Source organism: Homo sapiens, chromosome 9 (genome assembly GCF_000001405.40).
Source record: "Homo sapiens chromosome 9, GRCh38.p14 Primary Assembly".
NCBI lineage: Eukaryota > Metazoa > Chordata > Mammalia > Primates > Hominidae > Homo > Homo sapiens.
Window position 1 is genome coordinate 61,931,927 of NC_000009.12, and position 23,541 is coordinate 61,955,467.

The window sequence follows — 23,541 nt, forward strand, 5'->3', positions numbered from 1 at the left end:
TCACTCAGGCTGGAGTGCAGTGGTGCAATCATGGCTCAATGCAGCCCCAACCTCCAGGGCTCAAGTAACCCTCCCACCTCAGCCTTCTGAGTAGCTGGGACCACAGGCATGTGCCACCATGCCCAGCACATTTCTTAGACCTCTGAAAAGATGCTCAACACCGTATGTCACTAGGGGATTCAAATTAAAACAACGATGTGATACCATTACACATCTCTTAGACTGGCTTGAATGCAAACACCAACACCAAATGCTGGTGAAGATACGGAGCGACAGGAACTCATCTCTATTTCTGCTGAGAATGCAAAGTGGGTCAGCCACTGTGGAAGGCAGTTTTGCAAGTTCCTGCCAGACTAAACATACGCTTACCATACGATCCGGCAAAAAAATGAAATTTTAAAAATATATTTTATATACTTGAAACATATACATTTAAATAAATATATATTTTATATATATTTTAAAATAATATATATTTTTATTTTTTGTAGAGACAGTCTCTACAGACCATAGCCTGCAGATTCTATTAATTTTAAAAGCATTTTAAACTCTTGAACAAGAAATTATTTGAAGAGTGAAAAATAAAATGATAGAGTATTGATTGGTAAATTCCAAATGTTATATATTACATAATCTGGATTAATTTTAAATTCCAAAAAGTGCAACTTTAAAAAATATTTTAAAAATTTCCTAATCTGAGGTCAATACTAGTTCAACACATTACATTCAAGAGCTGATTTCAGAGGAGACATAAGGTCAACAAGTTCTTAGGTTTTGACTTTGTTTTCTGACTATCTGTGTTTGTGAATGGTGAATTTTTAGATTTTGTTCCTTTCTTCTTAGGGTATTGACTAATATTTTATTAAGCCGGAGAGACAGTAAATTAGAATTATCTGTTTGTCCATTTTATCTGTTATAAGTATTTCCTCCAAATTCACTTATCTAAAGTTTTTGGTTTATTTAGTCAGGTGCAGTGGCTCAGCCTGTAATCTCAGCACTTTTGGAGGCTGAGGTGGGGGATCGCTTGAGTTCGGGGGTTCAAGATCAGCCTGGCCAACATGGCAAAACCCAGTGCCTACTACCATACAAAAATTATTTGGGTGGTGGGTGTTTTGGCTCACTCCTATAATCCTAGCACTTTGAGAGGCCAAGGTGGGCAGATCACCTGAGGTCGGGAGTAAAGAAACAGAGAGTAAAGATTTTCTGAAACCAAAAAGTCTGAGAACAGCTGCTCAATATATTCATTCAACAACTATTTGTCTCCTTACCATGTGCATGGTACAGTTCTAGGCTCTAGGGATAAATAGCATTGAACAAAATTGACAATATCTCCTGCTCTCATCAAGTTTACATTCTAGTGGACATAATGTAAGAACAGAGATGATTTGTCAAAAAGCAGTCCGGGCACAGTGGCTCATGCCTGTAATCCCAACACTTTGGGAGGCCGAGGCAGGGAGATCACTTGAGGTCAGGGGTTCGAGATCAGCCTGGCCAATATGGTGAAAACCTGCCTCCACTAAACATACAAAAATTAGCCAGGGCTGGGTGTGGTGGCTCACCCCTGTAATCCCAACACTTTGGGAGTCCGAGGTGGTTTGGATCACCTGAGGTAAGGAGTTCAAGACCAGCCTGGCCAACATGGTGAAGCCCCGTCTCTACTAAAACACACACACACAAAAAAAAATGTTAGCCAGGCATGGTGGCAGATGCCTATAATCCCAGCTACTTGGGAGGCTGAGGCAGGAGAATCACTTGAACCTGGGGGGCGGAGGTTGCAGTGAGCCAAGATCACACCAATGCACTCCAGCCTGGGTGACAGAGCGAGACTCCATCTCAAAAAAAAAAAAAAAAAAGTTTTAAGTGCTATGGAAAAAAAAGGGAAGTGGTAAATAGTTTCAATTTCAGATAGGATGATCTCTGACAAGGCAAGAATCATGTTAAGACATGAAGAAAATTAATACAATGATCCTTACAGGTATATGGAGGGAGAGCTTCTTTTCTTTCCTTTTCTGTTTTATTTATTTATTTATTTATTTATTTATTTATTTTTTAGACAGAGTTTCACCGTTTTGCCCAGGCTGCAGTGCAATGGCACCATCTCAGCTCATTGCAACCCCCATCTCCCGGGTTCAAGTGATTCTCCTGCCTCAGCTACTCCCCCAAGTGAAAGGTGACCAAGAGAGCCATTGAAAATAGTGAGAGTGGCCGGGTGCGGTCCCAGCACTTTGGGAGGCCAAGATGGGTGGATCATGAGGTCAGGCATTCGAGACCAACCTGGCTGAGAGGGTGAAACCCCGTCTCTACTAAAAATACAAAAATTAGCCAGGCGTGGTGGCGTGCCCCTGTAATCCCAGCTACTCTGGAGGCTGAGGCAGGAGAATCACTTGAATCTGGGAGGTAGAGGTTGCAGTGAGCCCAGATCATGCCACTGCACTCTAGCCTGGGTGACAGAGCAATATTCTGTCTAAAAAAAAAAAAAAAAAAAAGAAAAGAAAAGGAAAGAAAAAGAAAATGGTGAGAGCACCATGTTTGAAAAGTGGTCCAGGCACTGGGGTAAGGGGTGAGTGTCAGCCAAGTCATCAGCTATCAGAACAGGAAGCCATCAGGTAATATATCAAGTTGATATATTGAGAAGGAGCAGGATCTACCTATTATATAATATAGAGATAAGCACTCAGATATATAGATTAGAAATAGTTTAGAAAATTTAGACATTTGATTATTCGGGAAGTAGATCTGGGAGTATTGGAGAAACAGGGTCGGGGAGTAGACTGCATGGAAAGCTCTTTCTTAGTTTGTGATTTTTCATTTATGCACATAGGTTTCTTACATAACATGGAAAATTCAATTAAAGAAGAAACAACATTGTGTTCTGAGGTCCCAAAGGTGTAGTGATTAATTAGAAAGACTCACAAAATCGAGTGAAGCTGTTTTACTCATAGTTTATTACAACGAAAAGATACAGATTAAAATCAGCAGCAGAAAAAGGTGCACAGGGCAGAGTCCAGGAGAGACAAAGCACAAGCTTCCAGTTGTCCTCTCCCAGTGACATCGTGTGGACAGTGCTTAATTCACCCAGCGATATTTGGCAAACAGTATAGAATATACTCCCCAACAAAAAGCTTACCTGAGCCTTGGTGTTGAGCATTTTACTGGAGGTTGGTCACATGGACAAGAGCACCCATTTGGATGACATTAGTTTCTCCGTCTCCACCCTTCCCAAGGTCAAGCTGAGACTGCATGGTCCAAGGTCCCCATAATAAATCACGTTGTTAACTCCCAGATAGGCAGGAGAGTCCGAGGACTTAGAGGTTATTTCCTGGGAACTAGGATAGAGTCACACCATTCTTTGGAGTATGCCAGGTTTGGGCAATTCAGGCCTACTAAGTTTCCTTGACTGCACACAAGTGATAGTATGTAGGAAATGAGTAGTTGCATATATTGCTGGTGAAAATACAGTGTTATATAACCCTTTGGAAAGAAATCAAGTGTGTAGCACATAAACATCATATTTGGTTTGTTTTTGTTTTTGTCTGAGACAGGGTCTCACTCTGTCACCCACACTGGGGTGCAATGGCATGATCACAACTCACTGCAGCCTCGACCTCCCAGGCTCCAGCTATCCTCCCACCTCAGTCTCCTGAGTAGCTGGGACCACAGGCACCTGCAAGTACACCCAGCTAATTTTTGTGTTTTTTGTACAGATAGGGTTTCACCATGTTGCCCAGGCTGATTTCAAACTCCTGGGTTCAAACAATCCCCTACCTCAGCTCCCCAAAGTGCTAGGATTACAGGAGTGAGAGCCACTGCACCCAACCTATATTTGTATATACATTAAATTGTATATGTTAGACTGGGCACGGTGGCTCACACCTGTAATTCCAGCATTTTGGGAGGCCAAGGTGGGTGGATCACTTGAGGTCAGGAGTTCGAGAGCAGCCTGGCCAACATGGTAAAAACCCATCTCCACTAAAAAAACAAAGTTAGCTGGACATGGTGGCAGATGCCTGTATTCCCAGCTACTCAGGAGGCTGAGGCAGGAGAACCAAGCAGTGGAAGTTGCAGTGAGCCGAGATCATGACACTGCACTCCAGCCTGGATGAGAGAGCAAAACTCTATCTCAAAAAACAAAACAAAAAAATTGTATATGTTATTGTATGTATGTGTATATATTAAGTTGTATATACCCATATTAAATATATATACATATATTACACTTTACACACATACACTTGTTTCCTCATGCAATTTGTTTCAGCAGAAGTAAAAACTAACAAAGTTATAAGTAAAAGAATATTTACAGAAGCACTATTTTTGGTGGCAAAAGTACTTTAATATCTTAAATGCTCATATAATGAAAGATACTTTAACTCTTACAAAGAATGTGTCAGCATTTTATCTACTATAAAGGTATCCTAATATCTTTATACCTAAAGTGATATATGTGGCCAATTTTTATATTAAAAAAGGAGAATGCTTTATAATTAAAGAAAAAAGAAAGAAACGTTATATAATAGCCCTCCCTTATCTGCAGGAGATGTGTTTAAGACCCGCAGTGGATGCCTGAAACTTGGGTAGCATTGACCCAATTGCTTTCAATCAGAACACATTTCTGTTTGATTTCCACTCACAAATTTAATGCCTTTTTCATCTTAACTAAGCACTTATCACACATATGGCTGTACTTTTTAGAGCTTGGGGTGCAACAAACAAGACTAACAGAAATTTCTTTTTCCTTCTTACATTTTCACCGCTAGAGGATTTGTTCTTACCATCGATCTTAGCAACCTGAGCACACGACTTCTCTCTTTTTCTTTCTTTCTTCCTTTCTTTCTCTTTCTTTCTTTCTCTCTTTCTTTCTTTCTTCTTTCTTTCTTTCTTTATCTTTCTTTCATTTTTCTTTTTTTCTATTTATTTTATGTATTTACTTATTTATTGAGATGGAATCTCAGTCTGTCATCCAGGTTGGAGGGCAGTAATGCGATATTGGCTCACTGCAAACTTCTCCTCCCGGGTTCAAGAGATTCTCGTGCCTCCGCCTCCCAAGTAGCTGGGATTAAGGCCCTCACCACCGTGCCCAAATAATTTTTGTATTTTTTGTAGTGATGGGGTTTCACCACGTTGGCCAGGTTAGTCTCGAACTCCTAACCTCAAAAGATCCACCCGCTTCAGTCTCCCAAAGTGCTGGGGTTACAGGCATGAGCCACCACGCCTGGCCTGTATATTCTGTTGTTTGCTGGCCAATACTTACATGAATCTTGGAGAACATCATGGAAAGTTGCTCATCATCTTGTTAACTGGTTATTTCAAGAGTGGAACTGGAGGGGGAATACTGCCTTTCCTGTGTATTTATTTGTAATGTTTCATTTTCATTATGAACATGTATTATTTTAATATGTTTAAATATTAATAAAGACAGGTAAATATATGTAATTTTAATTCAAGCTGAAATCCTCAAGGAAATCACATATAATTAAATAGATGGAGGAAAGAAAACATTTAAAATCCCTGAAGGAAAAGGAGGGAAGTCCGGGCAAGGAGGCTCATGCCTATGTCAGCATTTTGGGAGACCAAAGCAGGCGGATCATTTGGGGTCAGAAGTTCGAGACCAGTTTAGCCAACATGGTGAAACCCTGTCTCTACTGAAAATACAAAAATTAGCCAGGCATGATGGCATGCGCCTGTAATCCCAGCTACTTGGAAGGTTGAGGTGGGAGAATCGCTTGAACCTGGGAGGCAGAGGTTGCAATGAACCGAGATTGTGACACTGTGGTTCAGTCTGGGTGACACAGCAAGACTCTGTGTCAATCAATCAATAAAAGGAGGGGGAAAAACACAAGTAAAAAATAAGTGACTCAAAAGTAGCAATTCACCATAATGCCTAAATTTGTGGGATTGGCGGGGTGTGATGGCTCCCGCCTGTAATCCCAGCACTTTGAGAGGCCAAGGTGGGTCGATCACCTGGTCAGGAGTTCGAGACCAGCCTGACCAATATTGTGAAACCCTGCCTCTACTAAAAATAAAAAATTTAGCAAGGTGTGGTGGCGGACACCTGTAGTCCCAACTACTAGGGAGGCTGAAACAGGAGAATCACTTGAACCTGGGAATCAGAGGTTGCAGTGAGCTGAGATTGCCACACTGCACTCCAGCCTGGGTGACAGAGCGAGACTCCCTTCAAATAAATAAATAAATAAATAAATAAATAAATAAATAAATAAATAAAAACACTTTGTGGGACCAATTCCAATTGAGTCCAGGGGAGCACACACTGGCAACAAACATCCTCCATCAGGTCCCTTCAGGGTCGAGAGAGTGCATCTGGAACAGACTGGGAAACTCCAGCAGGCAAAGTAAGGTGTCAGGAATAGACACCACCTGACACATTCTCCATGTTCCCTCCACCCACCCCTCTCCCCACCAGTCTTCCATCGGGCTCCAATTCTGCACTCTCCCCAATAACCTCAGATTGAAACATTGCAAGGAAGACACCGATACTCAAAGTCACAGGCTTAGGAATCTGAGCTACAAAGAAAAATGAGTCCCTGCTCCCCCAACTGCATGGTACTCCCCTCAGCACTGCTGCCCTGCACCTGCCCCCTCCTCCATAATTTGAACTGTCCTCACAGAAGCTGGAGAGATGGCCCGCCTGTCAGGAAAGAGAGGACCAGCATGTGGCAAATGCCTGGGGTATGTAGGAGCAGATGGTGAGATTAGCACAAGGATGTAAGAAACAAGTGGCTCTCAGACCAAAGAAGACTCTGCGGGAGACAGAACATTAAGCCTTCATAGAGGCGTGCGCTGGACAGCAGCTCCCCAGTTACTGAAACAATTATCTGAGAAAGGCTCTGAGCTGACCCGAAACGCCCTTGGATCCCATGGCAACGCCTCAGCGTCTGGCAGTAATAGGCTTCTGTACCCAGAATCTCTAGGTCTGGAGGTCCCAACTCCACCAGCCTCTCACAGCCCAGAGGTACCTCCCATTGGCGCCTGATGGGTTTGGGAGGCTGTTCTTCCAGCTGTGACAGATCCAGCCTAGGAGCGCTCCTGGGTCTTCTCAGTTGTTTCTTCCCGCACACCTGCCACTCGAAGCCACAACCCACTTGCACGCCACCTTGAGGACACCTTAAAATGACCGTCTAGATCTGAACCTCGCTGAGGGAATGGTCAGTTTTACTCCCATTAGATGGCTTGGCCCAAAGGACCTAGCAACCACCCAGACAAAAATTTCTTCCTAAAAGCTGCATGTGTCTGTGGTCTCTAAGAGGCAAAACTAAACCCTAAAGAAAAAGCTAACCCACCCCCACCTCCACTGCAAAACAAAAACAAAAACAAAACCCACCACCAACCCACCCTTCATGTGAGGAGTCCTTGAGAAGGGCCTCCCCAGCCAGGACAAGGCAAGGGAATCTGTGCACTTGGCCAGACCCAGAACACACAGTGTCAGGGACCTGACAGTCACACTCTGACCCCATAGAATTTCCACCACTGACACACAGATCAGGATGTGTCAGCCTGAGAGATGACTCCACAAATCTGGCTTTCACATATTGATTCCACACACATCCCATCACTGACACCAGATTCCCTCATCACTGACCCTAAATACCCACAATCATTGATTCCATGGACCTCATCACTATCCCAAAGACCACCCATCACTAATCTACAGATCGTCATCTCTCACCTCAGGGACCTCACAGATTCCCCATCCCTGATTCCAGGATCTATAGAACTTCATCTCTTACCCCCACAGACCTATTAATAAAAGGATACATTCATAGGAGACTGTGTTGACCCTTTTACACACCCATTGCCTGTGTGTGCCGATTAATGGACTTAGGTAAACTTTAGCGTTTTGGTAGGCAACGCAATTTTTCAATGCCTTTTCTTTCTTTTTCTTGTACATCTTTAAAGGCCTTACTCCAGTAAGTGTGCATTGCAGTTTATTAATGCCTATCCCTTAATGAGTCCTTGTCATGCATTTTTGTTATTAATCATAATTCACAATTCTTATAATTCAGAGACACCAGAGATTCACATAAGAAGAATGGCATTGAGTTTTTATTTATTTATTTGTTTTTTTCTGTAGATTATCAAATTCATTCATTTGTATCAAGTCACTAAGTGTATACTTTGTTTTCTAAAAAAAAAAATTCCAATAATTTTTTTTTTAAGACAGGCTATCGCTCTGTCACCCAGACTGGAGTGCAGTGGTATAATCATGGCCACTGTAACCTCAGCCTCCTGGGCTCAAGTGATCCTCCCTCAGCCTATGTAGTAAGCTGAGACCACAGGCATGCACCAATATGCCCACCTAATTAAAATTTTTTTTGTAGATATGTGTGTCTCACTATGTTGCAGAGACTGGTCTTGAACTCCTGGGCTCAACTCATTCTCCCACCTTGGCCTCCCAAAGTGTTGAGATTACAGGTGTGAGCCACTGTACTCAGCTGATAAAATCTTAAAAAGAGGAAAATACTTTGGGGCCTAATGTAAAATTTCCACTGAGATGATGCGTCAGAAATTAAGGTAGAATAAGATGGCCCTAGGGCATCAAAACAACGGAAACTAAATCTTGGGCTGGGTGCGGTGGCTCACGCCTGTAATCCCAGCAATTTTGGGAACCAAGGTGGGGGACTCACTTGAGGTCAGAAGTTTGAGACCAGTCTAGCCACCATGGTGAAACGCTGTCTCTACTAAAAATACAAAAATTATCCTGGAGGTTGCACTGAGCCAAGATTGTGCCAATGCACTCCAGTCTGGACAACAGAGGGAGATTCTGTCTCAAAAAAAAAAAAAATAGAAGAAGAAGAAACAAAATCTTAATTTCTTCATCAAATGTAAAAACTATGGACTGGACTCTGGAGGAATAATACACAAAAAGACACATAGGCGCTTTTTTTTTTGAAGTTTTATTGAGAAATATTGATAACATACCACAGAAGCCACTGATTTAAAGTGTAAAATTCAATGTTTTTCAGTATATTTGCACTGTTATGCAAACATCACCACAATAAATTTTAGATCATTTTCATTACCCTGAAGTAAACACCATATCCCTCCATTTCCCCCCAACTCCCCTAACCCTGGGCCACCACAAATCTACTTTCTGCTTCTATGTATTGGTCTATTTTGGACATTTTATTTAAATGGAATTACATAACATGTGGTCCTTTGTGACCGGCTTCTTTCACTTAGCATAATATTTTCAAGGTTTATTCAATCTTGCATGTGCAAAGGGGGCACTTTACATAAGGATAAACCTGGGATGGGGGGTACTTACTGATTGATTTGGAAACTTCCCTCCAAAATTGTAAAGGGTTTCAAATAGAGGAAAAACCTATTCAGGCTAAAATCCTGTTTTCAGCAGTTTGTAATGTGGGGTTTTATTGCAAAGAATGGCAAGATTTTTAGGCTTATTTTCTGAAAATTCTCCCTGTGTTTGGGGAACAGTCACAGAATGTGGAGGAATGGGCTTCTAGGCTCTGTGGCTGGAGATTCGCGTCCAGGAGAACTCAGGTCCGAGGGTAGGCAGAGAAAAACAGTGTAAGAGTGCCAACAGAATGCTTTGAAATGGAAAATTTTAAATGTTCCCTCCAAAAGGAGTCCCAGATAACCACACAAAAGAGGACTTTGCTGGGCAGGTCCATTGCAATTGTTCAATAACAAGACACAGACAGACTGGGAAAGAAGGAAGTTTATTTCTGCAGCCACTTACAGGGAGAAGCGCCAGGTAATTCACCAGATCAACTCAAAGTTACAAGTTTTTTTTTTCTAGTGCTTATATACGTCTTAAGCTCCACGTGGGATTGCACCTACAAGTAGGAGTGTTTCATTCAATCAACATCTTATCTTTAACTCGGGTCTAGCGTCTGGAAAGATTTCTCTAGAGTCTTGGAAAGTTTCTGAATCTTAAGACAGGCCGAGGTGAATGTGTACCAATGCTATCATTATTCGATCAGACTTTAGGGTCTGAGAAAACCCAGGTGGGGTCTCAATGGGTTTGTTTTCACATTCCATCCCTGATACTCAGGCACAAGTTTCTCCGTTTCTTTAACGTTAACTTATGCATTCATCAAAATTATAGTAAAGGGTTAGTAGAAACTGTTCTGGTTGCTATTGGAAACCTGGCCTGCCACACTGCCATAGGAACTGAAGCCCACTACAGAACATTGAAAATGCCTGCAAACACTGACTTTACTGACCAGTCAATTAAATTGCAGAAAAGCAAGCTCACGCTGCCTCCCTGATCCTCCAGAATTGCTAGTTAGAAACGTGCACATTGTCCTAGGTTCAGTTTTGCAAAGATGGAGCCTGGCAGTGAAAGCATTTGTTTGAGTTCATGCATTAAGGTTTGCTTTGTCTATTTCTTTTATATTTATTTATTTGTTTTTTTTTTTTTTTTTTTTTTTTTTTTTTTTGAGACAGAGTTTCAATCCTCTTGCCCAAGCTGGAGTGCAATGTGGCGGTCGCCGCTCACTGCAACTTCCGCCTCCTGTGTTGAAACGGTTCTCATGCCTCAGCCTCCCAAGTAGCTAGGATTACAGGCATGCTCCACCATGCCCGGCTAATTTTTGCATTTTTAGTAGAGATGGGGTTTCACCATGTAGGCCAGGATGGCCTTGAAATCTTGAGCTCAGGCAATCCACCCGCCTCAGCATCCAAAGTGCTGTGATTACAGGCATGAGCACCCTCAGCCGGCCTATTTTATTTTAAGATGGAGTCTCGCTCTGTCGCCCAGGCTGGAGCGCAGTGGCACGAGCTCGGCTCACTGCAACCTCTGCCTCTGGGATTCAAGCGATTCTTGTGCCTCCGCCTTACAAATAGCTGGGATTACACGCGCCCACCACCATGCCTGGTTAATTGTTTATTTATAGTAGAGACAGGGTTTCACCATGTTGACCAGACTGGTCTCGAACTTCTGACCTCAAGTGATCCGCCCGCCTCGGCCACTAAAAGTGCTGGAATTACAGGCGTGAGCCACCATGCCCGGCCCCATTTCCTTTATTTTATTTATTATTTCGAGAAGGAGTTTTGCTCTTGCCATCCAGGCTGGAGTGCAGTGGTGCGATCTCGGCTCACTGCAACCTTCACCTCCTGGGTTCAAGCGATTCTCCTGCATCAGCCTCCGGAGTAGCTGGGATTACAGGCGCATGCCACCACGCCCAGCTACATTTCCTTTATTTTATTTTTTATAATTTACTAGCCTGTTTGTTGATAACAAGACTGGCAGTGCACAAGTTTGTGTCTCGGTGCTCACCGGGAGGCGGGCATGGACCAGGTGGGAGGGTCTCCAGCACCTGGTACAACTCTCCAAGAAAGTGCAGGAAACGGCACTAAGGGTGGTAGTAAAGTTTTGGTTTGGCGAGGCGCGTAGGCGTTCCAGCGCAGAAATGCGCAGGAAAGGTTTTGCTGTGCTTGTAGGGAGGTCATCCCCAAGCTCTTCTTATTGGCTTTCAGTGAGACGAGGTCGCGCACTGCACTCCAGCCCGGGCTACAGAGTGAGACTCTGTATCCAAAAAAAAAAAAATAGTGAATGAATATCTATTGATGCATGAAGTGGCTGCATTAAAGGAAAACTAGCCAAGAAAATACAAGGCAAAAAAAAGTCAAGGATCAGTATGAAAAATAAATATATTTTAAAAGATTTGTTTTTAAAGCAACAACACGGGTTTAAATTTTAAAGTGAAAGAAGTAGCTCCAAGATAGAGGAAACAGGATGGCTTCTGAAGAAGGGAATGTTATTCTTTGAAATGGAAAGAAATTATGACAAGAGGGTAGCACAGACTGAAGAGGTGGAGGTAAAAGGGGGTTCTCGGCCAGACACAGTGGCTCACACCTGTAATACCAGCACTTTCGGAGGCCAAGGCAGGTGGATCACCTGAGGTCAGGAGTTCGAGGCCAGCCTAGCCAACATGGTGAAATGCCGTCTCTACTAAAAATACAAAAATTAGCTGGGCATGGTGGCAGGTGCCTATAATGCCAGTTCCTTTAGAGGCTGAGGCAGGAGAATCGCTTCAACCTGGGTGCGGAGGTTGCAGTGAGCCAAAATCGCATCACTGTTCTCCAGCCTGGGTGACTGAGCAAGACTCTCTCTCAAATTAAAAAAAAAATTTAAAAAAGAGTGTGTTTGTTGGGGGGGGGGGTGGTATCTTGACTTTTCTCCATGTGTCTTAGGCCACAACTCTTACGTGGGACCTTGCAGAAGAGATTCCCCAACCAATACCTTTACGGCGCTGCCTCCCTGATGGGCTGGGTTCTAAACAGCAGTGCCTTCCCCATCTGCTCAGTCCTTACTCACCTGGGCACCATCCTCCCGGTACGTCCCTTGAAACCATCCAGGGCTCTTTCCCTTGCTCCAGTAAGGAAATCACATCAGGCTTTGGGATAGAGAGACCTGTTTATAAGAAAAGAAGTAAGGTGGCCAGGCAGGCATAGTGGCTCACTCCTGTAATCCCAGCACTTTGGGAGGCCAAAACAGGTGGATTGCTTGAGGTCAGGAGTTCAAGACCAGCCTGACCAACATGGTGAAACCCCGTCTCTACTAAAAACACAAAAATTGGCCAGGTGTGGTGGCGGGTGCCTGTAATCCCAGCTACTCAGGAGGCTGAGACATGAGAATCGCTTGAACCTGAGATGAAGGTTGGAGTGAACCGAGATCGTGCCATTGCACTCCATCCTGGGTGATAGAGTGAGAATTCATCTCAAAAAAGAAAGAAAGAAAAAGAAAGAAAGAAAGAAAGAAAGAAAGAAAGAAAGAAAGAAAGAAAGAAAGAAAGAAAGAAGGAAGGAAGGAAGGAAGGAAGGAAGGAAGGAAAGAAAGAAAGAAAAAGAGAGAAAGAAAGAAAAGTAAGACATACTCGTGCTGTTCCTGAATTCAAAGTTAGTCCCTTAGTAGTCACGAAGGACTAGAGGAAGGTGTAAAGGTCTGAAGCATGGAGAAGATGGAGGGACCCCAAAGAGCTGCCCATCTATTAATCTACAAAACACAAAACAATTCCCTAAGCAGCAGGTGAAAAGTCACCCAGACAAGTGGAAGCTACACCCAAAATTCATGAGTTATTTGGGGATAGACATCCTTACCTAGTGAGACCAGGCTGCTATAGTTCTCCATCATTACATCTCTGTATCAGTCCTTCTGAGCAGCGTCCAGGCACTCCCATTCCTCCTGAGAGAAGTCTATAGACAGATCCTGGAACATGCCCAACCCCTGAAATGACAAACCCAGGCAGCACTGTTGAAATTAAAGGAAAGATTTTTAAGATGAAGGAAGAGATGGAAGGGTGCTGAAGCATGGAGAGAATACAGTGAGCAGACCAGCTAGGCTGAGAGTGGGGAAGAGTAAAAAAATTAGTGTAACTTCAACAAAGTACCTCCATGTTCATGAATATTCCTGTTGTGGCCAGCAAACCTCCTTCATAGAAAGGGACATTCCCAGTATTCCATGGTTAGAGCTGGGAATGAATAAATACATTGATATATGATTTCCCAAATAAATGAAATAGAGTTGAAAAGCACACAGCAAGCTGTAGGCCTGGCAAGGCTTCAAGAATATTACAGTAAACATCTGATATGCAAGTTACTATTTACAACAAAAGCTTAATAAATAGGCACTTCCCCCTTACCATTTTCTTTCTTGTTTTTTTTTTCTCTTGTTTCATTTTTTTGTTTTTGTTTTTGTTTTCACTTTGAGACAGGGTCTCGTTCTGTTGCCCAGGCTGGAGTGCAGTGGCAAAATCACAGCTCACTGCAGCCTCAACCTCCCAGGCTCAGGTGTTCCTCCCACCTCAGCCTCTGTATTAGCTTTGACTATAGGCATGCGCCACCATACCCAGCTAATTTGTTTTGTATTTTTAGTAGAAACGAGGTTTTGCCATTTGGGCAGGCTACTCTCAAACTCCTGAGCTCAAGCAATCCACCTGTTTGGCCTCCCAAAGTGCTGGGATTACAGGGATGAGCCACCACACCCAGCCTTGTCTCTTTTCTTAAAGGAAGACTGTATCTTTCAAAAATATCTACAAAAAGTTTGAAAACCTCTATTGGCCGGGCACAGTGGCTCACACCTGCAAACCCAGCACTTTGGTAGGCCAAGGCGGATGGATCGCCTGAGGTCAGGAGTTCAAGACCAGACTGACCAACATGGAGAGACCATTTTAGTCTCTACTAAAAATATAAAATTAGCTGGGTGTGGTGGCACATGTCTGTAATCCCAGCTACTTGGGAGGCTGAGGCAGGAGAATCGCTTGAACCTGGGAGGTGGAGGTTGCAGTGAGCCGAGATTGCACCACTGCACTCCAGCCTGGGCAATAAGAGTGAAACTCTGTCTCAAAAGAAAAACAACAACAACAACAACAACAAAACCTCTATTGCACTTTGATAATTAGTACTTCCATAAAATAGTATAGATAGTACTTTGATAATTAAATGTACATTGGCTGGGTGTGGTAACCCACACCTGTAATCAAAGCACTTTGGGAGGCCAAGGCAGGTGAATTGCTTCAGCTCAGGAGTTCAAGATCAACCTGGGCAACATGGCAAAACCCTACCTCTACAAAAACATATGTCATATACAAATTAGCCAGATGTAGTGGGACATGCCTCTAGTCCCAGCTACTTGGGAGGCTGAGGTGGGAGGATTGCTTGAGCCTAGGAGGTTAAGGCTGTGGTGAGCTCTGATCCTGCCACTGCACTCCAGCCTAGGCACCAGAGCAAGATCCTGTCTCAAAAAAAAAAAAAAAAAAAAAAAAGGCCAGGTGTGGTGGCTCATGCCTGTAATCCCAGAACTTTGGGAGGCTGAGTAGGACAGATCATGAGGTCAAGGGATCAAAACCATCCTGGACTACATGGTGAAACTCTGACTCTATTAAAAATACAAAAATTAGCTGGGCATGGTGGTGCAAGCCTGTAGTCCCAGCTGCTTGGGAGGCTGAGGCAGGGGAATTGCTTGAACCCAGATGGTGGAGATTGCAGTGAGCCAAGGTCGTGCCACTGCACTCCAGCCTGGTCATCATGACTGCGTCTCAAAAAAAAAAAAAAAAAAAGAGTGGTATCATGGTAGGAATAAACTGCACACAGGTCAGACAAAAGTTACAAGGCCATCTGCTAGTATAAACAAGTTTCCTGTGAGACACCTGGTCATGGGTCAGATACTTGAGCATTAGGCTGTGGTCCAGAAAAAAGAAATTTCTGGTGAAAGGCTACTCTAAAGACCCACAGGCCCCTCCCCTAGAGCCCCATTAGAGTGAGGTAGAGTTTATAGCCATTCTCCTGAGAGACCTCAAGACCCAATTAGAAGAAAACTATAACATTTGTTATATAGACGGCATTTTCCAAAGACTAGTTCAAAGATGAAAGATATAGTCTTCCTTTGGATATAAAACAAAATCTCAAGATACACCAAAACTGTTTTGCTTTTACTGAATAATTTTTGTGCATATGTGTTTAGCTGCAAGTGGCTAACAAGCTGTGATTTTCTTTCCTTTCCTTTCCCTTTTTTTTTTTTCTTGAGACAGCCTTGCTCTGTCAACCAGGCTGAAGTGCAGTGGCCTGATTTTGGCTCACTGCAACCTCAGCCTCCCATAGCTGGGATTACAGGTGCCTGCCACCACACCCACCTAATTTTTGTATTTTTAGTAGAGATGGGGTTTCACTGTGTTGCCGAGGCTGGTCTCGAAATCGTGGCCTCAAGTGATCCATCCACATTGGCTCCCAAAGTACTAGGATTACAGGCATGAGCCACCATGCCTGGCCAACTCTGATTTTTTAACTTGTCTCGTGTATTAGGTTCATACTAGGAAAAAAACAGGTCAGAGCCATTGGAGCCACGTGTACAGATGTGCAGTAGCTCTGCTAGCAACACTGCTGCTTGCTTCAGCTCTTAAGACAGATGAATTTAGCACGTGTCTGCCCTTGCTCTAGCTGTCTCTGATTCACCCCAACAGATGCACAATCATGCCACTCCGTTAGATTCACTTTGGATATCCCATTATTAGATTAAAACCAGCAGGCCAAAAAGATAACTTGAGGAAATGATTTCACATCCACAGTGTTCTCATAGGGCCAGTATCATTTAGACATGTCAGGACCGTGGTTGCAGGGGAAAGAATGAAGTGTCATCCTTAACTGGCCATCTAATGTCATCAGCATGAACAGGAGGACTTTATAGGATATTATCTGATGTTTTCTGAATATTACCTTACAAATGCTGCTTTATTTATAGCTTAAGAGCAGGGACCCTGTCTTTTAAAGCTTTATACATCCTCAAGTAAAGGTTTTTCATATTAAATCCATTAATAATATCTAAAGGCCGACCTGGAAATTCCATTTCTAAGTATTCATCCAAAGTAAAGATTTTTTTTCTTTTTTTGAGATGGAGTTTCGCTCTTGTTGCCCAGGCTGGAGTGCAGTGGTGTGATCTCGGCTCACTGCAACCTCTGCCTCCTGGGTTCATGTGATTCTCCTGCCTCATACTCCCGAGTAGCTGGGATTAAAGGCACGCACCACCACGCCCAGCTAATTTTGTATTTTTAGGAGAGATGGAGTTTCTCCATGTTAGTCAGGCTGGTCTCAAACTCCTGACCTCAGGGGATCAACCCACCTTGGCCTCCCAAAATGCTGGGATTACAGGTGTGAGCCACCATGTCCTGCCAAGAATTTTTTTTTTTTTTGAGACAAGTCTCAATCTGTTACCCAGGCTACAGAGCAGTGAGGTGATCACAGCTCACTGCAACCTCTGCCTCCTGGGTTCAAGTGATTTTTGTGACTCAGCCATCAAAGTAGCTTGGAATACAGGCACACACCACCATACCCGGCTAATTTTTTTTGGTATTTTTGGTAGAGAGCAGGTTTCACCATGTTGGCCAGGCTGGCCTCAAACTCCTGGCCTCAAGCAAGGCCACTTTGGGAGGCCAAGGTGGGCAGATCACCTGAGGTCAGGAGTTCAAGACCAGCCTGGCCAACATGGTGAAACCCTGTCTCTAACTAAAATACAAAAGGTAGCCAGGCGTGGTGGCAGGTGCCTGTAATACCAGCTACTCGGGAGGCAGAGGCAGGAGAATCACTTCAGTCTGGGAGGCAGAGGTTGCAGTGAGCCAAGACTGTGTCACTGCACTCCAGCCTGGGCAACAGAGTGAGACTCTCTATCAAAATATAAATAAATATAAAAATACAAAAAAGCCGGGCACAGTGGCTCATGCCTGTAATCCCAGCACTTTGGGAGGCCAAGACAGGCAGATGACTTGAGATCAGGTGTTCCAGACCAGCCTGTCCAACATGGCAAATCCCTGTCTCTACTAAAATACAAAAATTAGTCGGGTGTGGTGGATCACTCTCTAATCCCAGCTACTTGGGAGGCTGAAGCAGGAGAATCGCTTGAACCTGGGAGGCAGAATTTGCAGTGAGCAGAGTTCATGCCATTGTATTCCAGCCTGGGCAACAAGAGCGAAACTGCATCTCAAAGAAAAAAAAAAGAAAGAATACAAAAAATTAGCGGGGTGTAGTAGCGCATGACTGTAATCTAGGCTACTGTGGAGGCTGAGGCAGGAGAATTGCCTGAACCTGGAAGATGAAGATTACAGTGATGAGACTGCACCACTGCACTCCAGCCTGGGTCACAAGAGCCAAGAGCGAGAATCCATCTAAAAAAAAAAAGAATTTCTATTTGGGGGACAAAATAAAAGAAATGGAGTGAAAGGGATGTAAAGAAATTGAAAGTCAACAGGCTAATAATGCCAATAAATAATGATGGAGCAAAGAAATCAGTATTGGCCAAATAAAACCAATGTGTTTTTTAATATTTTTTCAAAATTTAGACAAAGCTTTCCAGTACACTGAGACACTTCTAATATCAAGACTTTAATATTGCCTGAGTACAGTGGCTTATGCCTATAATCCCAGCATTTTGGGATGCCAAGGCAGGAGGATCGCTTGAGCCCAGAAGTTCAAGTCAAGCCTGGGAAATATAGGGAGACATAGTCTCTGCAAAAATAAAATAAAATAAAATAAAATAAAATAAAATAAAATAAAATAAAATAAAATAATAAAATAAATAAAATAAAATAAAATAAACAAAATAAAATAAAATAAAATAAAATAAAATAAATAAAATGAAATAAAATAAAATAATAAGCCAGGCATGGTGGTATACATCTGTGAGCTGTGACAACCCCACTGCACTCTAGGATGGGTAACAGAGCAAGAAAGACCCTGTCTCAACAAAAAAACTAGAATATAGAATAAATGACATTTGGGTAAGTGGAATATTAGGTGTTCAATAAACACAGGTTATTCCCTCCCTATCTCCACAGAATCATCAATTTTTTTAAAGGAGAAGTTTTGATTAGAACCTAAAAATATCAATACTTCTCTTTCCAAAAAAGGAAGGAGGATTTAAATATAACAATTTCTTGGTTATTTCTATTTATTTTCATTGTTGCTTAATATTATTCAGTAATGAAAATGCAATTGCTCTCTTTCAAACATAGTTTTAACTAGTTGCACAAAATGCCACCTTGTAGTCTGAAGTACTTCAAATTTCCCTATCTATGAAAGCTAAATTTGGATATTATCATCTCAAGGATATTATAATCTCTGTGTTTAAATCTATCTAGGGTTCTACCTTTTCTGTAAGCCTTAGTGAATCTCACTATAGTCCTCCTTCCCTTTAAAAATGCAGTGATAGGCCGGGTGCAGTGGCTCTTCCCTGTAATCCCAGCACTTTGGGAGGCTCAGCTGGGAAGATTGTTGGAGCTCAGGAGTTCAAGACCAGACTGGGCAACATGGCAAAACCCCATCTGTGCAAAAATTACAAATATTAGCCTGGCATGGTGCCATATGCCTATAATCCAGCTACTTGGGAGGCTGAGGAGGGAGGATCCCTTCAGCCCCAGAGGTCAAGGCTGCAGTATGCCCTGATCCTGCCACTGCACTTTTGGAGGCCAAGGCAGGTGGATCGCCTGAGATCAGGAGTTCGTGACCAGCCTGGCCAATATGGTGAAACCCTGTCTCTACTAAAAATACAAAAATTGGTCAGGTGTGGTGGTGGGCACCTCTAATCCCAACTATTCAGGAGGCTGAGACAGGAGAATCACTTGAACCCGGGAGGCGGAGGCTGCAGTGAGCCAAGATTGCACCACTGCAGTTCAGCCTGGGCAAGGCAGAGTGAGACTCTGTCAAAAAAAAAAAAAGAAAGAAAGAAAGAAAGAAAAAGAAAAAAAGAAAAAGAAAATCAGTGATAGGTGAGACAGCTCATGCCTGTAATCATAGAACTTTAGAGGCAGAGGTGGGAGGATCACTTGAACTCAGGAGTTCAAGACCAGCCCAGATAACATAGTGAGTCTTCTTATCTACTGAAAATTATTTTTAATTATGCCACAGTGCTAGTGTGTGCCTCTGGTTTCAGCTTATTTGGCAGGCTGAGGTAGAAGGATCACTTGAGCATCGGAGATGAAGGCTACAATGAGCTGAGATGGTACCACTGCACTCCAGCCTGGGAGAGAGAGTGAGACTCTACCTCAAAAATAAAAATAAATACATAAATAAAAATTCAGCGATGGAGTTGATGGATTTGAGGTTGAGGACCCCCAATGTGAACCCATTTGGAAAAAACTCAACCTGTGTTCTTCCTCTGCTTCACACCAAAACCACAACAATCTACCCAGAAGACTTCTGTGGCCTCAAAATATGAGATTTCTTCCTATCAGCAAGCAAGGAATCAGTTCTGCAGCAGACAACAGCTGGGTATCCACCAATTCGATTCTGACACTATCTACCATGAGATAGTGTCACCCCACCGATTGAGAGCTCAGCCCCCAAAACTGCCCCCCTTTCAGACACCAGTCACAAGTCCTAGCCTCTGGAACTTCTGACTGACAGATTTAATTTGGGGTTCCTACGATCCCCTCTTTGGGTTTGATTAATTTGCTAGAATAAAATGGCTCACAAACCTCAGGGAAACACATTTACTGTTTGATTACAAGGATATTCCAAAGGATATAGATGAAGAGATGCCTAGCGTGAGGTATGGGGGAAGGGGCACAGAGATTCCATCCCCTCCCTGGGCACGACCCTCCAGGAACCTCCATGTGTTCAGCTCTCTGGAAGCTCTCCGAATCCACTCCTTTTGGGTTTGTAAGGTGGCCTCATTACATAGGCATGATTGATTAAACCATTAGCCACTTGTCATCAACTTAATCCTCAGTCCCCTCCACTCCCCAGGGGTGGGAGGGTAGGGGCTGAAAGTCCCAGCCCTCTAATCCTGCCTTGGTCTTTCTGATGACCAGCCCACATCCTGAAGCTATCGGTCAATCCCTAACATATAAAAAGCCAAAGTCTGGGTGCAGTGGCTCATGCCTGTAATCCCAACACTTTGGGAGCCCAAGGCAGGCAGATCACTTGAGGTCAGGAGTTCGAGACCAGACTGGCCAATATGGTGAAACCCCATCTCTACTAAAAAAGAAAACAAAGACAAAAATTAGCCGGCCATGGTGGCACATGCCTGTAGTCTACTTGGGAGGCTGAGGCAGAAGAATTGCTTGAACCCAGGAGGCAGAGGTTGCAGTGAGTGGAGATTGCACCACTGCACTGCAGCCTGGGTTACAGAGCAAGACTCTGTTTCAAAAAAAAAAAAAAAAAAAAAAAAAAAAGCAAGCCCTTAGGACATTCCAAGGATTTTAGGAGTTGTATACCAGGAAATAGGGACAAAGACCAAATCTGTATTTGACAAAAATCACAGAACCGTATGAGTTTTTAATTCAATACAGACATGGAAACTGGCCCAAGCATTTACTCACAGATGACTGGGTGAATCACTGGTCCTATGGGTACAAATTATTGATCAAACCCCCAATCTCATTCCTACCCCTAAAATATAGCAAAGTGCAAGATCTTATTACCTATTTGGACTGAGATTAACACCATCCCTTAAATTGCATGGCTTTCAATCCCAGGGCTATGGCATGTGATGCCACATAGAATATGCATGAATCTTCTCTCCAGCAATTGAGTTGTTAGGATAAAGGCTCTTGTCTTTGCCTTCTTTCCCTCACAGCCAAGAATGTTAAGGAACGTGGACACAAAGGATGAGGTTGGAACAGAAGTTTAATATGCAAAAGAAGAAAGCTCTCCCCAGCGGAGGGGGGACCCGAAAGAGGGTTGCCAACTAGGAGGCTGAATCTGGGGGTTTTGTGAACTGGGAAGGGGAAGAATGTGCTCACTAGTCTGTGAGCTGTCTTGGAGAAAGCACAACTTCGCTTGGCCCGGGACCTTAGCTTGGGACCAACCAGAGGCTGAAGTGAAATTTTGGCCCAAGAACAATCAGGGGCTGAAGTGAAAGTTTGGCCCAGGACCAATCAGGGGCTGAAGTGATGATTCATAGAGGCTTGGCTCACAGTCCAAAGCATGTCCAGAAAAGGAAAGTGGTCACCAGAGCCTGTTAGTCCAAGCTGCACCGATTTGTAAGCCCCCACCGTTTCACAGACCCTGGTCAGAGGGAAACATTCCACTGGGGTTTGGGCTGCGAGAAACATCCTCCCCAACCGCCTGACTTCCTTATCACATCCTGCTGGGGAAAGGCCCAAGAAACATCCTTATCAACATTCTCCCAGGCAACAAGCTATACTGCCCAGATCCCTCCTGCCCAGGCCTATAATTACTCCAGCCTGTAAGCGGCAGTGGGCTCTGGCATTTAGTTGGTCCCCTCCATAGAGCCGCCAACTCTCTCTCTTTCTTTAACCTTCACCTTCCCTTCAAAATCTAACAGAGCCCACCATATACATGCCCACAAAAAAGCGACTATTTCCTGGAAGCCCGCTGGTCACACAAAGGACAAAGGCATTTCTATGTTGGGCCTCGGTCCCTTATCAATGCAGCTGAGGAATGTCTTTAGGACAACCCCCTTTGCTAGTTTTCCTTCTCTGTGCCTGCAGCCTGATTTTTCAGGCTGTTTCTCTGTTGAAAGGAGTTTTACCAAGGACCCGCTCTAACTCCCTAAAGGGTTTTTTCTCTCAAGGGGACACACAAATTTCCAATCGCACACATGCCTCCCTATATCCACTTACCCTCTGCCTCACAGCCAATCACACTCTCCTCTCTCACACAGACCACGGGGCCACACAAGTTGCACCTGCACAGCCACAGACCTGCAACTCATGCACACACAGTACTGCACACACACGCAAAGTCACACACCCACCCTGGGACACGCAGCCCCCACTACACAGTCACCGGTTGTCCACATCCGCACACACAACGCGGCTCGTCCAGGACACACACATCCACTCCGAGCGCGCACAGTCACAAGCGCCCACCTGATCACCCAGAGTCAGCACCACACAGCCACAGTCACAGACCACGAAGACCCACGGCAACCATCGCAATCACACACGCAAACTCCTCTCCTCAGCCCTCCACACACAAAAGGACCAGAGCCGGATTCCTCATCCTCAGCTTTCTCTAGTTCCGCTCGGGGCCGGCCTGGCCAAGTTACTCCGGACTCCAAGGCGTGGCAGCAGCTAATTGGGCACAGCGAAAGATTCTGCCACCTGGCTAAGAGGAAGCCAAAATCTCGCGAGACATGGTATTGGCCCGCAGAATCCTCCGGGAAATGTAGTCCAGAGCCCGACTGCTCCCCTACTAAAAATATAAAAATTAGCCGGGCCTGGTGGGCGCCTGTAATCTCAGCTTCTTGGAAGGCTGGGGCAGCAGAATCGCTTGAACCCGGGAGGTGGAGGTTGCAGTGAGCCGGGATCGCGCCGTTGCACTCCAGCCTGGGTGACAGAGCGAGACTCCGTCTCAAAAAATAAGTAAGCAGACATGTCTGCTGCCCACATGAGGTTTACATTCTAGTCTGGAGAAAAAAAAAGATTTTAAATTAAAAGGGGAAGATGAAGTAATTTTATATTGTGATAAATACTATGAAATATATCAATAGGTGGTATAGGCAGTAACTTGAGGGATACTTCCCGTAGCATTGATAGGACGGGTGTCTGAGAGATAACCCTCGAGTTTTGGTGGTGAGGAGCCAGCAGTGTGGAAGGGTATTCCAAGCAGAGGCACAGTTACACTGAAGACCCTGAAAAATCAGAGAGCGCTTGGAGCGTTCCGGAAACAGAAAGCAGCCTGGTGTGACTGAAGCTTAGCAAGTGAGTGGGGAATTAGTTTAGATTTAGGATGTAGAAGTCAGCATTTTCCGATTCATATGAGAAAATGATAGTGCTGAGATTACAGGCGTGAGCCACTGCACCCAGCCCCAAACCAAGTTTTTATAGCAGCAAGAATAGATACTCTGGTATGGTCAGCGTCTAAAGATTTTACAAACAATATCTCTTCTTTTAGTTTGCAGTCATTATTGAAATAACAAACATGTCCTATTGTCAGGCCTTACTCTCAGTAACTGATTTCATTGATCTGAATAGGAAACTTACTTGATTAATCAGCTACTCTTTGGTATTACCTGACATCTCATTAATGCATCTTTGAATTGAATTATTGCTCAATAGGAGTGATTGTGAAATAGTGGTAATGTGTTACATCACTATTGAAGTT

General features: G+C 43.8%; 1 long non-coding RNA gene across 5 annotated transcripts in view; it reads left to right on the forward strand.

Moving 5' to 3' along the window:
- LOC107987007 (uncharacterized) overlaps positions 1-23,541 on the forward strand; it is a 70,552-nt gene that overhangs the window by 20,857 nt on the left and 26,154 nt on the right. The window contains exon 3 of one of the 5 annotated variants that reach the window (XR_007061536.1): positions 21,047-22,432. The exons of 3 other annotated variants lie outside the window; for them this stretch is intronic. This is a non-coding gene — a long non-coding RNA (uncharacterized LOC107987007). Of the gene's footprint in view, positions 1-5,103; positions 5,419-21,046; positions 22,433-23,541 lie in introns of those variants that run through there. One more of the 5 variants, XR_002956859.2, reaches the window with a different exon arrangement.